At 36.1% G+C, this 18489-nt stretch overlaps 1 long non-coding RNA gene across 2 annotated transcripts in view; it reads right to left on the bottom strand.

Annotated features, from left to right (window-relative positions):
* The window catches only part of LINC01818 (long intergenic non-protein coding RNA 1818), a 186703-nt gene that overhangs the window by 80665 nt on the left and 87549 nt on the right, over positions 1-18489 (bottom strand). The window lies entirely within an intron of this gene.

The raw sequence follows: 18489 nt of genomic DNA, 5'->3' as shown, positions 1-18489 counted from the left end.
CCAAGGACCATATGGAATGACATAGTAAAGTCTAAACAGGAAAATGGGAAAGGTGGACCAAGAAAATAGAACAAAAATTTAAAATTTAAAGCAGATTACCTGGAAAATACATGGTGCCCATACCTAGCTGGAAAATATATGGATGTTAATAGAAGGAGTATATTAATATTAGCAACAGGGACTATCACTTGCCATGAGTCTACTAAGTGCCAGCTACTGCCCTAGGAGAAGTGTAGATAGAAGGGGTTTGCCATGAAACTAATGAGGCTGAAGTTTCAGGAACCCTCACTTGTGCCTCCTCCAAGCCTCTAAGAACATGGTCATATGGCCATATGTTATTGTAAGATTTTCAGAAGTAAGAGGTTTTCATCACAATTTTTTAAGATTGACTTTTTAAAAAAAATTCTGACCTACCTTCATCATACCTATTTCATACCCCTAAAATGGTACCCAATGATCCCCACTGCTTCATACGCACACCCTTGTATAATCTCCTTCCCTTGATTGTAGGCTGAACTTACCCACCTACTTCTGACAGACTATGGCAGAAGTTATGGATGTCACTTATAAGGTTGGATAATAAAAAAGACTGGCTTCCATTTTCTGTTATTTCTTTTATTCTCTGTTGGACCACTCACTCCAGGGAAGTCAGGTGCCACTTCATGGAGAAGCTCTGTGGAGAGGCCCATGTGAGTAAATTTTGGAAATGATCTGGGGCCTGCCAGCAGTTACCCAGGTAAGCCTGGATGTGAATGGTACTCTACAGCTTTGGCCAACAAGTTGATTGCATAGACATGTTTAGACAGAGGCATCTAAATAAGCCATGCTCAGATTCCTTACCCATAAAAACTATGAGCTAATATGTTTGCTGTTTAAGCTGTTGTGTCTTTTTTGTTTTATTTTGTTTTGAGATGGAGTTTTGCTCTCGTTGCCCAGGCTTGAGTGCAATGACATGATCTTGGCTTACTGCAACCTCTGCCTCCTAGGTTCAAGTGATTCTCCTGCCTCATCCTCCCGAGTAGCTGGGATTACCACTCCTGGCTAAATTTGTATTTTTTTTAGTAAAGACGGGGTTTCACCATACTGGTCAGGCTAGTCTCGAACTCCTGACCTCAAATGATCCACCCACCTTGGCCTCCCAAAGTGCTGGGATTATAGGCATGAGCCACCGTGCCTGGCCTGTTGTGTCTTGAGTTATGCTGCAGTAGATGACTAATACAGGAGGTGTTGAAGTAGTCATGAGCTTTTTAGTCATTTAGTTCTCAGTGGAGTATTTATAAGTCTCTTAGCATATTCAAGTGAATATTAGCCATCCTGGTAGAGAAATAGCATCCAATGCACTGTGCTCATTTATTGTGCAGCATCACACTAAGGAGCAGGGCTGAAGGTCACATTATGATAAGAACATGGCCACATGCAAATCACTCCCTAAATCTCACAAGAAAAATCTGCCCCCATAAGCCTCAAAGTTGCTACTTCTAGGTTGACTATTTTATTATTAAAGTATTTATTGATTCAGCTAAAGTTGAAATAGTTCTCTGTTTCAACATACATCCTGCTACGATTTGAATGTTTGTTCTCTATTTCAATATACATCCTGCTACGATTTGAATGTTTGTTTCTTCTAAAACTCATCTATTAAGAAGTGTATTAAAGGCTCATGTATTAAGAGCATTTAAGGGTTCTGTGCTCATGAATGGATTGGACAATTTATGGATTAATGGGTTAGTGAATTAATGGGTTATCAAAGGAATGGGTTAGTTATCATGAAAGTGGGTCTGTGATAAAAGCCAATTGGGTTCTCTCTTGTGAGCCCTCTTGACAAGTGATGCCCTGCACCAACTTGGGACTCTGCAGAGATTCCCCACCAGCAAGAGGGCCCTCACCAGATATGGGCCCTTGATCTTAGACTTCCCAGCCTTCAGCATTGCAAAAAATAAATTTCTTTTCTTTATAAATTACCCAGTCATTGGTAATCTGTTATAGCAAAAGAAAACAGACTAAGACTCATTCTAATATTGATTTTTCATCACCAAGTCTAAATGAAAAATAAGAGTCTGCTTGTTACAAAGTTGTCTAGTTCTTGCAATGTGCTTCAACATTTTAAAGACTACCATCTGTATATAAGTGATATTCACAAAGTTGACAAAACTTGATTACACTAAGTAATAGCAATTTGAAATAATATTTTGGACCATTTCAATAAAACAAGTGAATCTTGGTTTAGATATATATGAAGAGTACCTTATGTTTTCACCCTTCAATTTATTGTTCAAAGAAAAAAGTCAGATGAAATATGAAACAGAAGCAATACATAGGAGCAACAAAATTGATAGAAATTATTCTAACTACAAAAAGTAAATTGTAACAAAATATTTTTTGGATCATGCCAAAAGGAACAGTCATTTGGACGAAACGATACATTTTACAAAGAAGTATTAGGAGGTCCTTCGATTATTTAATGATTTCATTAGTGGGGAGGAGGGAACTATGTGAACAAATTTTAAAAGCTTTACATTTTTGATTTGACAAAACACATATCAGATAATATAAAACTCACAATAAATCATAAAATGAGAACATTGTTGACAAACTGATCAATGAGCATTATCAATTGAAAGAGTATTTCAGATTAGTTGCTGTTCAAAAAAATTTGAAATTCTCTAAAATCTTACAAACATTAACAAACTGAAGAGAAGTTTTTGTAAATTTGGCAACTATTTGAATAATTTATATGGCATTGACAATATGAAGTTACAACACTGAAAGAAACTTTTTAAAACTATCAATAAACAAAAATTGACCAGTTTAAGAAAAAAAGATTGAGTTACTCCCTGTTCCTTTCTTTTATGAAGTCCAGGAGTCCTGCCCTCTCTCAGGCCTCTGGGAGAGAAAGAACAAGTACACAGAGCCATACTCATCTCAGCAAAGGCCAAGACAGCAGTTTGAATCAATAATGGAATAACATCTCAGTCTGCAGTCTCTGCCTTTGGATTTGTTTTTGCCAGTATAATGACTTTGCATCTACAAGGCTAGAAAACACTGGCTAAAATGATGCCTTTTGGAAGGAAGGAAGGAAAGATCTACCCCATGACAAATTCTATGTTTAAAACAAAATGCAAAATATTCCTACTTTAACAATTTTCAACTCTCTACTTCACTCTACCTCAAGCAATAAAAAGAAACTATTGGCAGCTTTAAAATAGTTACTCTTCCCTGATTCATACTTAAACTATTTTTATGAATATCAGTACAAGTAAACCTTGCAGCCTGAGCTCAGGAGTGGGTTGGCTAATGCCTTTCAGATTCCATTTTCAGTGCATTTTCTGGCTACATCATGACTGGAACTGCATAACTTCACTGAAGGTTTGTTTCTGTCATTCTCAGATGTTTTGCACTCATCCAATAATTGGCAAATAACTGAGTCAACAGAAGCAAAGCAGGACTTGAGGGGAGAGTTATCTGAAAACCAAACCCCATTGACTCACCTCAGCTGAGTATAGGGCTTATTTTACACAGCATTTGCTCTTGGGGAAAGATCACCAAGTACAGAGATTTTTGTAGTTCTTTTGGTTTCACCTCACCTTATGTATCAGAGAAAGGACAAGATAGTCTTTTGGGATGTTAGGTTTATTTTAAACATTTGTATAAATGCTAAAATTTTGGACTGTTTTCATGTTTTCAAAACTAGTCACATGAGAATTAATTGTTTTTTCCTAGGGTGGAGGAGATGTCTATTTAAAAACATTTATTAGAGAATTTTTCTTAATAATATAAAGAGTAATAGATAAACTTATATAGTGTTCAGTATTTATGCTATGCCAGACACTGTTCTAAGTGTGGTACGTGTATTAAATCATTTGCTTATTACAATAACCCTATGTAGTAGCTATAAATATTTCCATTTGACAGATAAGGCATAGAGAATTTAAACCACATACTCAACAGCACATAGTAAGTGGTGTCAAAACATAATTTTTAAGAGGTAAGACATAATTCTTAAGCAAATATATGGTGGGAACATGTAAGTGTTAATATTTAACTCATTAATGAAAGAACTAACAGAACAGTGCAGCTGATTCAAGAGAATCTGAGAAACAGAGGTTATATAGTCATTTAGGAAAAGCATGCAGAAATAAGTTTGCTAAGTTAGAGACAAACTAGTTTATGCTTTATAGAAAAATAAATCTATTATTTTAGGGTTATGTTCTTTACCAGAAAGAAATTACGTGCTATTTTACTGGCTCTACATGCTAAAATACAAGTCATCAAATCTCAAACTGTGATCCTCCAGCTTCTAGAAAAACTGAACCTCTTTCAGAGGCCTACAGGTCAAAACTGCTTTTATAATAATAATGACTTATTATTTTCCTTTTTACTGAATTGAAATTTACATTGAACAATGGTGGGTGAAATTGATAACACCACTCTACTGGTAGCCATTACCTTCTTTACCACCAGATATTCACAGATTTAAAAAAAATTGTTTTGTGTAAGATGCCCTTAATATAAGAACATTAATTTTATTACATTTCAAACTTTGAGTATATATCTTTGTAATATTCTATGTTCCAAAATAAGAAGTACACATAACAAACTTCTGCTGCCTAGTGAAATTCCACAGTAGTCTTGAGGAGAAGCCCTTTTATTTAAGTTGTTAACTGACCTAGACATTTTACGAAGTCAGTGCAAGTAAACCTTGCAGTCTGAGCTCAGGAGTGGGTTGGCTAATGCTTTTCAGATTTCATTTTCATGAAATAAAAGTATCACTTTCTGGCCGTGCGCGGTGGCTCACGCCTATAATTCTAGCACTTTGGGAGGCTGAGGCGGGTGAATTGCCTGAGCTCAGGAGTTAGAGACCAGCCTGGGCAACATGATGAAACCCCTTCTCTACTAAAAATACAAAAAACTTAGCTGGGCATGGTGGCGGGCGCCTGTAGTCCCAGCTACTCTGGAGGCTGAGGCAGGTGAATTGCTTGAACTTGGGAGGCAGAGGTTGCAGTGAGCCGAGATCACGCCATTGCACTCCAGCCTGGGCGACAGGGCTAGACTCCGTCTTAAAATAAATAAATAAATAAATAAATCACTTTCTTTGGAAAAAAAGTAAAAAGCCATAGTTTTTCAGATCTAGCTATTCAGTAGGCATTTTCTTAAATATGAAAAAAGTAATTATGACCCTTCAAAAAAACTATCAATATTTGTTGATTTGATAAAATTAGAACTTTCAAGCTAAAATTAGAATTTTGGAAAAAGTATGCCTGCAACCATGAGCTTGATAGCTTCCTAATAGTTAAAGACTTATCTGATAAGATCAATAGTGATATTAATAGTTATAATTTTTGATATAAAGAAATGCATTAACATTTAGAATATTTGCATAATTAATAAATCAATATTTTCCAAATGACAATGCATGATGGTACAAAATTATGCACAGGCAAATAACACATTTAAACTGCAAAATATACCAATACATTAATGTGAAATGCAAAAAGTTCACTAATGTGGTTTCAGATTCCACATTGCAACTAATCTTTCCAAGCAAATGCTTGCATAGTTTCAGTGTATTAACAAAGAATATCCACAACTGTCAGAAGATGCAATTAAAGACTCTTCCAACTACATACTTTTATGATGCCAAATTTTCTTTATAAACTTCAACCAAAACAATATACAGGAACAGATTAAGTGCAGGAGCAGATATGAGAACACGGTTTACTTCTATTTGTAAAAATTGAGGAGAAGTGCAAAAACAGAAAACTATGTATAGGAAAGAAGAGATTTCTTTTTTCACTCATTGCTAGGTTCATGGCTGAGGCCCCTATAACAAGACAATTGATAAGAGAAAAGCATAGAAATGTATTTAAGTTTTATGCGACATGGGAGCCTTCATAAGGTAATGAAGACCCAAATAAATAGAGAAACCTAGGTATTTTCATGCTAACTTTGATGAATAAGTGGATAGTTATGGAGAACTATGATCAGACAAAGAGAGTATGATTTAAAGGTAAACTGGGAGGAACTTAACATGGCTTGTTTGTTCAGATTCTTCTTTGTGTTTCCATGTCTTCAGAGATAAAGACATTTGCTTCTTCTGTATATAGGGAGGGTACCTATACACAGAGGTTTTATTGCCTGCTTCAGGGGAGAAACTCAGAGAGACCTTATTGTTTCTATTTTCTCAGTGCCAAGGTGCCATATTTTGAGGCAGCATGTCCTGAACTCCCATCAGATGCCATTCATCTTACGAAATTTTTTGCTTTGGAAAACATATTAATAGTTATTTTTTCTTAAAATATGTTATTCCTGGCTGGATGCGGTGGCTCACGCCTGTAATCCCAGCATTTTGCGAGGCCAAGGTGGGTGGATCACAAGGTCAGGAGTTGGAGACCATTCTGGCCAACATAGTGAAACCCTGTCTCTACTAAAAATACAAAAAAAAAAAAAAAAATTAGCTGGGTGTGGTGGTGTGCACCTGTAATCCCAGCTACTTGGGAGGCTGAGACAGGAGAATCACCTGAACCCTGGAGGCGGAGGTTGCAGTGAGCTGAGATTGCACCATTGCACTCCAGCTCGGGCAACAGTGCAAGACTGTCTTGGAAAAAAAAAAAAAAAGAAAAAGTTATTCCTGTTAACATGTAATTGGTCTATCACTATGATTATTTTTTCATGAACTAATAAATACTTTAAAATTTTCTCTCTTTTAATTTCTAATATGATGAATATCAATAAATACACTCACACAAATAAGAGTTATTTGGTGTCCTTAATAACTAATTAAAATGTAAAAGGGCCCTAAGACTAAAATATTTGGGCAGATGATCTGAATTGTAAATCAAAAACAGTAATTAAAGAATCCTTGGGTGGGTCTTTTAGACAATGCTGTAGTATAACACTGAAAAATCATTGTGATCCTTTTGCCTTATTTCCCATAATTATTCTTAGCAATAGTGGAGCCAGAATTTGAGTCCCATCTGACTCAGTTATCTATACCTTTAACCACTAAGCCACTTCATGTGTAGAAGAAACATGTACATTCAATAAATAGAAGCATCAAATTCAAACATAAAATTCTGCTTTCCTGGAAAACTTAGAGCAAACAGTAAGGTAAGACAAAAAAGAAAGAAAGAAAGAAAAAAGCTCATCCATAGATCCAGCCTTACCATGGATCCATTGGGTCACTTAAAACTGCTTAGATTTCAAATCCCTAAAATTTTTCCAATCTTACGTAATGCATCCACTAATAGAAATGGTGATTAAGAAAGTACTTCTGTTAACATGGGAGGAATAGAGTTCTCAGAAATGTTAAGATTTAACAAGTCTTAACAAAGCATGTTCCTGCCCAGAGAAGCTTGCCTTGATAGCAGAAAATAAATGCTTTAAGGGTGAATGGTGTTCACTTTCAGAGTGAGAAAGCTTTTGACCAGTTTCATGGGACTATCCTGTGCTACTGCTATGGGATGGGGCAGATTGGTATGGAGACTAATCCTTCCTGACCTCTTGAGTGTTAAGCCTACAACGTAAAACAAGAGAATCAATTGCACTTAACATGTGTTAACATCTGAACAAACAGGTCACGAAATTGTCTGACTTTTAAAATGGAATTAACATTTAGACAATCATTGGTCAGGAAATGGTCTCCTCTTTCACAAAGGCCAAGGCCAGAGTATTTGACACTAAAACCTCCACTCAGATTAGTAAATTCCAGGCCCCCCTTCCTCCCAGGAGGTGGTCAAAGAAGAAAAGACTTCCTGAAATCTGCACATTCTCAAGGTTATTGAGGTTTGCTAAGCAACAGGAAGATTCAGGAAGTTGTCAATTTAGTCATCAAAATGAAAATGACAAATTAAAAATGTTCCATATGCTGGAAGAGGCATTGAAATTTAAAAAATGACATTAGGAGACCAAGAAATAGAAACAAGTGTCTAAAATTATACAGTGAAACTGTAAATCAGTAGGGAAAGGATGTACCATGAGAAGTGTTAGAATTGCTGGTTAATACTTTCTTGAAAAAAAATGTTATATCCCTACCTCACAACAAATAACAACAAATTATGAGGTACAAGTATAAAACAAATGCTTAATATAGTTGGCTTTATTGCAAAAAGAAGAAAGGAAAGAAAAGGAGAGAAAATGAGACAGAGAGGGAGGAAGGGAAGAAGGAAGGAAGAAAGGAAAGAAGAAAAAAATTATAAGAAATTTTAAACTAAATGGAAAAATATTGGTAGCATTTATATCAGAACTACTCTTGTTAATATATAAAGAATTCTAACAAATTAAATGAAAGACATACAATCATAGAAAAACAAGCAAAAGATACATAGAGGCTATTCACAAAATAAATGAAAATGAGCATTAAATATGTGAATACATCTTCAATCTCACTAATGGCAAAAACCGCAATTACTTTTGCACCAACCTAATAAATAAATGCAAATTAAAATAACAATCAAATATCTTTTTTTTCTTCTACATTGGAAAATTATTTTTTTTTATTGTAAGCATGTAATTCTAAATTCTGAAGAGAGTACGCTTAGGTGGTGTGGCCTTCAGGAGGTGATTGAGTCCAGAGGGCTCTACCCCATGAAAGGGATGAGGTATATACCCTTATAGAAAGGCTTGACAGAGGAAGATTGTCCCTTTTTGCTCTTCTGCCTTCTGCCATCTGAGGACATAGTGTTCTGCTCTGGAGGACACAGTGTTTAAGTCACTATTTTGGAAGCAGAGAGTGCACCCTTAGCAGACAATGAACCTGGACTTTGGGCCTTGATCTTGGACCTTCCACCCCCTAGAACTGTGAGAAATTTCCATTCTTTATAAATTGTTCAGCATATGGTATTTTCTTATAGTGGCACAAGACAGACTAAGAGATAAAGAAAAGTCCATGCAGTTATACTGCTAGGAGGAGTATAAAATTGTATAACCACTCTGTAAGGAAACGTATCAATATATATCAAACAGCTTTAGAAAGAACATATCTTTTAATTAAACAATCTGCTTCTAAGATTTTAACCTGAAATAATTTATTAGTATGCTTACAAAGGGTTTGGCGGGAAATCTATAATTTAATGCTTCAGTAGGGAGACTAGTTACATGAATCACATTACAAAGGCAAAATAGAATACTGTCATAATTAAACATTATGATAAAGATGTCTGTTTTTACAATGAATTGATATTGAAAATATATATTTTTGTGAAAAAACACAGGATTCAAAATGGTGCATATAGGATTATCCTAATATAAAGAAAAAATATATATGTGTAAGTCTGAATAGTAATACCCCCAAATATTAACAGTGGTTATTTTTAAGAATTGAAATTTTGGTGATTTTTTTACTTTCTTTTTGCCTATTTTATTTTATAATTTTTGTTCAATAACCATGTACTACTTATGTTATTTTAAAATGTTTAAAGAAAGGCTGAAAAATTTTAGCTCCAATAGTAATTTTTAAACATACATTTTAATTTAGAGAACCGTTAAATTTACAGAAAAAATGTGAAGGTAATCTAAACAGAGAATTCTCATAAACCTCACACCCTACTTACTATATTATCAACTTACATTGCTATGGTACATTTGTCACAATTATATTACCTTTAACCAAAGTCCATACTTTATTCAGATTCGCTTAGTTTTTATTTAATTTCTTTTTCTGTTCTAGGGTATCCCATTCAGGATACCATATTACATTTAGTCACCATGTCTCCTTAGGATCCTTTTGGCTGTGACAATCTCAGACTTTCCTTATTTTAATTTCCTTGACAGTTTTGAGAAGTACTGGTCAGGTATTTTCTAGAATATCCCTTAATTGGTATTTGTCTTATGCTTTTCTCATGATTAGACTGAGGTTATGAGTTTTGGGAAAGAAGACCACAAAGGTAAAGTGCTATTCTCATCACATCGTATCAAGGGTACATTCTGTCAACATGACATCAATATTGACATTCTCCTTGATCCCCTGTCTGAGGTAGTGTCCGTCCATCAGTTTTCTCCCCTGTAAAGTCACACCCCCTCTTCCCCCTTTACATGCTTCACTCTTTGAAAGGAGGTTACTAAGCAGAGCCCATACTTTTTTTTTTTTTTTTTTTTTGAGTCGGAGTCTCGCTCTGTCACCCAGGCTGGAGTGCAATGGCACGATCTCAGCTCACTGCAACCTCTGCCTCCCGGGTTCAAGCAAGTAGCTGGAATTACAGGGGCCCACCACCATGCCCAGCTGATTTTTTTTTTTTTTTTTTTTGTATTTTTAGTAGAGATGAGGTTTCACCATGTTGGCCAGGCTGGTCTTGAATGCCTGACCTCGTGATCCCCCGACCTTGACCTCTCAAAAGTGCTGGGATTACAGGCGTGAGCCACCGTGCCCAGCTGCACAGCCCATACTTTAAGGAGTGGGGTGGTTCTGTTCCACCTCTGTGAGAGTGAAATATCTACAAAATTTATTTGGAGTTCTTCTGAATGGGAAATTTGCCTTTTATATGTATCTTTTTAACCATTTGTTTATATTAGTATTGGCTTTCAGATATTTATTCTATACTTTAGGTTATAATCAATAACTACCCTATTTTGTTGTTCAAATTGCTTCAATACTTTGGCTAGCGGGAATGCTTTCAGTTGGCTCTTTGTGACTCCTTGACATACCCCCATCATGTGCATGTCTGTGTATGTTTGTGTGTTTGAGTGTGTGTGTTTGAGAACTTTCTTACTTTCTGGCACTACAGGATGCTCCAGACTCATATTGTATATTTGCTGCCCTAGTTCTAGACTCAGCCACTTCTTCAAGAAGTTCTGTTTCCTTTTATAAGAAAATGGAATTATAAATCAATATGTAAGCTCTAGGCGTGCTTGTTGCTACTAGAGTGTTATTGTTTCTAGGCCATCTCAGCTGACGGAGCAAGGGAATGTATGTGTGTATACTAGCCCAAGTATATACACAGATCTATAAATACCTCTATTAACCATGTGTGTTTATCTGAAGCTAAACATGAACTCATGTTCATGTCACCAAATCAAATCATTCTTACCACATGGATCATTCTAGCCTCCTCCACTTGCTTACCTGTAACTTCTCACTCCAACAGAGACATCTGGCTATCACCAACTACCATCCCTTTGTTTAATTGTTCGATTTCAGTTTACATGTATAGAAATGTGTTTTTGTTTTGTTTTGTTTTTTGAGATGGAGTCTCATTGTCACCCAGGTGCTGGAGTGCAGTGGCACAATCTTGGTTCGCTGCAAATTCCACCTCCCAGGTTCAAGCGATTCTCATGCCTCAGCCTCCCAAGTAGCTGGGATTACATTTAGAATTGTTTATCTGTACACCTATGGGAAACACCTTTATCAACTAAACTCTTATATACAGCTCTTTTTTGCCTTGATTATTAAAAAATCCACCCATTTTCAAAGTTAGGTCAGCTCCATTTTCTCCTACCTCCTCCAGTGAAGCCAACTCAAACCTTTGTAATACAGTTAGATTCATTTATCATAATCTGCATTCCATTCTGAGATCTTTCAACCTCCTAAATGAATTTTTTTGTTTGCATACATTAAGACTCACACTACATCCTGTAAAATTCTGTGGGTTTTGACAAATGCAACAATGGGTCTGTTTATCATCTCTATACTATTGCCTTTTCCAGGCTATTCAGGTTATCTATTTCCCCTTGTGTGGATTTTGACCAAGGAGTTAATCTACTTCATCTAAGTTATCCAAAGTCTTTAAAACTATAAATTTCCCCTAAGCATTGCTTTTGCTATACCCCAAAATTCTGATATCTTGTATTTTCATTTTTATTAATTAAAATCTTTTAAAACTATCTTGAGACATTCTTTGACTCATCTGTTGTCTAGATGTGTTGTTTAATTTCCAAATATTTTGAAATTTTCTAGTTATCTTTCTATTATTGATTTCTGCTTTAATTGTATTTTTTATAACTTCCTTTCTTTTAAGTTTGTTAATGTGTGTTTTATGGATCAATATGTCATCTTGGCAAATGTTTTGAGTGAACTTAAGAAGAATGTGTATTCTGCCTCTGTTGGATGGAGAATCAAGTTGACAGTGCTATTCAGGTCAACTATATCATTGTTGATTTTCTGCCTGCTTTATATATCAATTACTGACAGATGAGTGATTAAGGCTGCAACTATAATAGTGCATTTGTCTAGTTCTATCAGTTTTTGCCTCATGTATTTTAGTGGTCTCTTATTAGGTGCATACATGTTTAGGGTTATTATATATTCTTGAACATTATAGTTACGTAATGCCCCCTTGTCATTATATAATGTCTCTTTATCATTAGATAATATCATTTCTATTCCTAAGCATTTTCCTTGTTTCAAAGTCAGCTTTGTCTGAAACTAACATAGACATAGTTACTTCAGATTTCTTTTGATTACTGTTAGCATAGTAACATAGCATATCTCTATTCATTCTACCTGAGTTATATTTAAAGTAGCCTTCTTATACAAACTCTGGCAATCTCTGTGTTTTAACTGAAGCCTTTAGATAATCATATATAAAGTAATTATTGATAAAGTTGGATAAATATCTGCTAGGTTCATAGTTATTTTCTATTTGTGGCATTTGCTTTTTATTTTTCATTCCTATTGTTCTCCCTTCTCCAGTTGTAATTAAGCATTGAAAATGATTCTACATTATCTTTTCTCTTACCATAACAATTATGCTTTTAAAAAAATTATGATGGTTTTCTAGATTTTGCCATGCAAATTTTTAATAATTTGTCTTCAGATAACCCTATATTACTTCATAAGTAGTGTAAGTACATAATATTCCTGATTTCTCTCTCTCATCCCTTGCAACATTATTGTTATTCATTTTACTTATTCATATACTACGATCACTCAATGTATTACCATTGTTACATTAAACACTGTAAAATTATCAGATCAATGAAAATATAAAAAATAAAAGATTGTATTTTCCTTTCATTTATTCTTTGATATTATTTCTTTCCTTACATGTAACCAAATTTCTAACCTATATCATTTTCTTTCTGCCTAAAGAACTTTTTCATGCAGGGCAGGTCTGCTCATAATCAATTGTCTCAATTATTGATGCTTTTTTTCCCTCCTCATCAACACTTTAAACATTTCACTTCTCTCACTTCTTGTTTGCATGGTTTCTGATGAGAAGTCTTCTGTAATTGTTATTCTTGATTCTCTTTAATTAATGCCTTCCCAAGCACCCGTCTCAGCTTCTTTCAAGATTTTCTAATTGTTTTTGGTTTTTTGCAGTATGAATATAATATACTGAGGTATGTTTTCTTGATATTCATCCTGCTAGGGCTCTCTGAGCTTCCTGGATCATGGATTTATGGTTTGGTGTGTGTCATTAATTTTGGAAAATTCTTGACCATAAATATTTCAAGTGTTTTTTCCTGTTCCAATTGTTCTTTCTTCTCCTTTTGGTATTCCAATAATGCATAGTTTACACCTGTTGAAAAAATGTTCCTAGCTCTTGCTCTTGGGTGTTATGATATTCTTTTTATCTTTTCTTATTTTAGTTTGGAAAGTTTTTATTGTCCTATTTTCAGGTTCTCTGATTATTTTATTGGTCAGGTCAAGTCTACTGATAAGCCCATCAAAGGCATTTTCTGTTTCTGTTTCAGTACTTTTTATTACCAGCCTTTTCTTTTTGCACTTCCTTAGAGCTTCCTTTCTCTGCTTATATTATCTATCTGTACTTTACATGCTGTCTACTTTTTCTGTTAGACCCCTTAACATACTAATCATAGTTATTTCAAGTTCCTTGTCTAATAATTCTAACCTCTGTGTAACATACGAATCTGTTTCTTATGGTTGCTTTGTTTCCTCACGTTTTTTTTCTTTTTCTTACTTCTTGGCCTACTGATTAAATAGACCTTTAGTGTGGAGTTTTATGTTAATCTGGCTAGGAGCTAGACTGTCTTTAATATTTGCTGTACCTGTAGTTGTCAGAGGCCTCATATTCCTCGAGTATTCCTTTTACTCATCTCCCTCATTTACTTTGGCCTTCTCTAAATATTCCTCCTCAGAAAGTGGGTCTTACAACTTTTTCAACTGTGACCTATTGTAATTATATTTATACTGGAGCCTTGCTGATGTGGGGGTAAGATATGGGGGAGAGGAATGTTCTATAATGTTCCAATTATACCTCAGTCTTTTAGTGAGCCTGTGTCTCTGGGCTCTGACTTTCACAAGTGTTTTTCAGTGATATAGCCCCTCCCCATCCCACTTCCCTACTTCCCTGACTACAGTGTTCCCAATTTATCTCCTTGAAGTCCTGATCTCTGTTGACTATTCCCTCCATACACACAACCACACTTTGGTGAGACTAGAAGGACTCAAGGGGGATAAAGTAGAAGAAATGCCCTTCTCCAACTGGGATAAGGATCTGCAAAAATATTTCCCCTGCAGAGTAGGGCTCTGTTATAGAGAAAGCTCTGGATGTATTTTACAATAATTACTTTTATCTCCCTTTATCAAAGCCATGAGAGCTCAGCTATTTATCATGATTGCCCAGTGTGATTTCTGGAGTTAAAGCCCTTAAAGGGGCAAAGCTCCCCAGTACTACAGCCCAAATGGAGTTTCTCACTCTCAGAGTAGTAGTCCACATTCTGACTCCAGCGATTCACCAAATCACCAGTTAAGTGTCTTACCAGTTTATGTGCTCCAGCTGCTTCTGCTCCTGGTCAGCTGATCTTAGCTGTCATTCTCTCCATGTGCTTGTTTCTCCCAATTTCAGGGTGTTGGTTTGCCCTACAACCATCCAACTTTCTCTTGTAGTAGTATTTACATACAGCATGGAAATGATCACTCTCATTTCAGAGCTGAAACCAGAAGTCTCTAATAACAATTTAAAACATTATCTTCATAGCTAGCTCTACATAAAGTAAGTAGACTTGGATTAGTGTTTCTTCTTTTTATGTGATATTTGGCATCTTTTTTTCTTTTCCACAATGATATGTCATTTCAATGTGCTCAGTGGTTGGTTGATGATAACAAAATATCTGGATATTGGAGATATAAATGATGAGTCAAAGAGGTTTCATGCAGCATTTTACAACTTTTATTTCTTCCTTTCTACCTCTATTTAAATACCACTACTAATAACAAAAATAATAAAATCTTAATCAGATGGCTTGTCAATTGTCCACTATTCTAAATAACAGCTCCACTGGGCTGAACAGCCAGTCCCATTAGGCATGTCTAGAGTTAACGCTTAGCTCTTTGAAGGTCCACTGAGGATTCCGTAGACTAGAGATGTACAGGATGAGGTTATAGAGGTAGACTGTCCATCAAAGATTTTCTTCTTGGAAAACAGTGTGGGATTAAGCCTCTTGCTCAACTTGTTTGGGACTCCCTTCTCCCTCCTTTGCTAAAAACAAATCAAATCAATGAAAGCTTCCGCAGTTAAGAGCTGGAGTAGGGTTTGGGTAAGAGGAAAGCAGTGAGCATTCCTGGCATTTACTCACTCTACAAAGGGCTGTGTTGCTGGGGCTCCACATTCAGACACTAATGAGTCTTTGCTGTTGAATAGTTTTGGCTGCCTCTACCCTTTCCTTTGTGCCTGCCCATAAAGACAGTTGGAAAGCTAGCCACCACCACCACCACAACCACTACTCCTGAAATGGCATTTCTTCTGTCAGAAAGAATGAACAGAGTTGGTTACTGTAACCATCACCCTTGATCTCCCATTCCACTATCCCTGGAAAAAAAACCACAAATGTAAATATTACTATTGGGCACATAAAAATTGATCATAAAGAAAAAGCCATCTGTTAGTTGTTTTGGTTGTATTTACTTAGCCCAATAGGTTGCGACATTTTAGTTGTTTTTGTTTCTTTCTTTTCTCCTACTCCTTCTTCTCCTCCTCTTTCTCCTTCTTTATCTCCTACTGAGATAATCCAAATAATCAGGAAGTTGGTTCTTTTTATAGAATGAATTTATACAATTATTTCACTCTTACTGTGAAACTTTCAAAACCCTTAGCTAATTAATACTAAATTTGTGGAATAATTAAGAGGACAGATTCTGTATATTTTCTATAGTGGTAGTGCTTTAAATGTGAAATGAATATGTCTTTTTTCTCTCCCTGCACTTTCATCTGCTGCTACCTTGTAACATTCCTTCAGGAATGTGAAGTTCCTGTCATTTTCAAGGGATCACGTAGCCTTCAGATATTGCCTTTGGAGTCTCCACTTTGCTCACACAATTATAAAAATCTTCTCCAGTGAACATTGCGTATTTTCTATATTTTGGTTACTGCCTTTAACAAAGGGGGCTATCATGAGGAAATGCGGACTTTCTCTTGCAATTTATGTGTGCGTGTGTGTGCGACAGGGAAGGAAATTAGAGGTTAGACATCCCTGCCTTGAATACTTATTCTAATGAAGTTACGACTGTGTGTGTTTGGCACACATGTATAGTATTCATGCTGAATAAGAGGCTATACAAATTACAGTTTTGCATAAATGAATAATTTCATATATGTTGATAATTCATGCACTGTCAAGTGATCCAAAGAACACTGATGCTTTCCAAGTTTTTTTTTTCATCCTTTTGCTCAAAGGGACATGATTAGATACTTTCTTTAATATGAGGGGGGAATGAAACAAATGCTCTGCCTCACACACATCCCACAACTTGACAGACTGTAGCGTTGACCTTCAACGTGTGCCTGCTTTTTGTGTCTCAGCAGAACAGAACGCCAACTGTTATTTCTTCTTCTCCCTATGGAAAGACTGGTAAATGTTACCCAGATGAAAGAAGAGAAGATTCTATTAAATGTGGTCTATAGCTAATTCCACGAGGCAGCATTGTGATACTTTAGCCAACACAGCATTGTTCATGGTTTCCTACAGTCGTCTTTTCTCCAGGGCCCCTCAAATTGGACCTCTTTGGAAGGTGTGAATTCAGAAAGTGATGGGCATGATGGCCATTGGTTCCAAAAGAGAAACAAATCTTTTACATAGTATTAATGTCTTACTTTTAAAAATGCAGTGACTACTTGGTAACATAAATTTTTATATATAAGGACAATTACATGGTTTTGTCAGAGGTTCCAGCTTGAGTTCAGACTCATTTAGGGACAGGTCTGGGTGTGTGTGATTAACTGCTTATGTTGGCCAAAGAGAAGCTATTAGCTGAGGGGCTAGAGAATCTTCTCAGATAATAACAATATAGTCTATTCAGGAGAAGGAGGAGTTAGGCACTAAGACACTGAGTAAGCTGCAAAATCATATTTGTGACACTGAGCACGGTATGGTAGCTCCTATGCAATCCGCACCTAGCCTAAGCCTTGATTACCTATGTAGATTCTAAGAATAAACTCAGATACACATGGAAACAAAACAACAGGATTGAAGGAGCTGTTTCACCAAATATTCTAAGATACTAGAGTGCAAATAGGGCTGATTTGAGAAGTATTTAGTAAAATATGACAGAAAGGGGAAAAGCCATTAAACATTACAAAAGTTATTCAGTTTCAGCTGGGTTTTATGAGGGCACTGAGAAATGGAGTATCGGCTGCTCTTTGGCGAGTATTCATATTTTCAAGCACTTGAAAGCCTCTCCCTGAGGACGACTAAGGACACCTGGAAGGGACATTGCTGAGGCCTAGAGATTCCATGTTAGCAAAGACAGTGATAACTGAATTATTACCGTGAATTTGATTTTATTAATTCCTATGGGATGGTGAACACTGAGAAAAGGCAGTAAAATTTGTTTTACATTTGAGATACTCCTCATTATATTCTCTAATTTCAATGCCACCTTCAATGTTGCACACAGGCTGAAAGAAATCAACTTCTGTGCACACTTTTTTTTTTTGAGATGGAGTCTCGCTCTGCCGCCCAGGCTGGAGCGCAGTGGCGTGATCTTGGCTCACTGCAAGCTCCGCCTTTCGGGTTCACGCCATTCTCCTGCCTCAGCTTCCTGAGTAGCTGGGACTGGAGGTGCCCGCTGCCACCCCTGGCTAATTTTTTGTATTTTTAGTAGAGACGGGGTTTCACCGTGTTAGCCAGGATTGTCTCCATCTCCTGACCTCGTAATCCACGCGCCTCGGCCTCCCAAAGTGCTGGAATTACAGGCGTGAGCCACCGCGTCCGGCCTACGTGCACACGTTTAAACAAGATTATTTCTCGGCTAACATAAGCTGGGACTATGACAATGGGAATTTTAAAAAATGAATTAAAGACTAGAAGCACAAAAGATTAGAGGAGATAAGTCATCTATTTAAATATGTGCATTTTTCCTTAAGTGGATCTATTTGGTCTATCCTGTTATATTTCAGAATTTTGTTACCTTTTTAAATATAAACTATATCAAAACAAGCAAAACAAGAGAGTTTCTGAAGGAGAATTTAAGCATTATTTTCCTATTCTCTGACTCTATAAGAATTAATCAGCTAATGAATCAACTAGCTATTAGTTATTGTGTTCCTTTAAAGCACCCAGTTCTGCCCTTCTATGTGTCAATAAAAGATAACACTG

Source organism: Homo sapiens, chromosome 2, assembly GCF_000001405.40.
Source record: "Homo sapiens chromosome 2, GRCh38.p14 Primary Assembly".
Taxonomy (NCBI): Eukaryota; Metazoa; Chordata; class Mammalia; order Primates; family Hominidae; genus Homo; species Homo sapiens.
The sequence above is the reverse complement of the archived record's forward strand: the minus strand, read 5'-3'. Positions and strand labels throughout refer to the sequence as shown.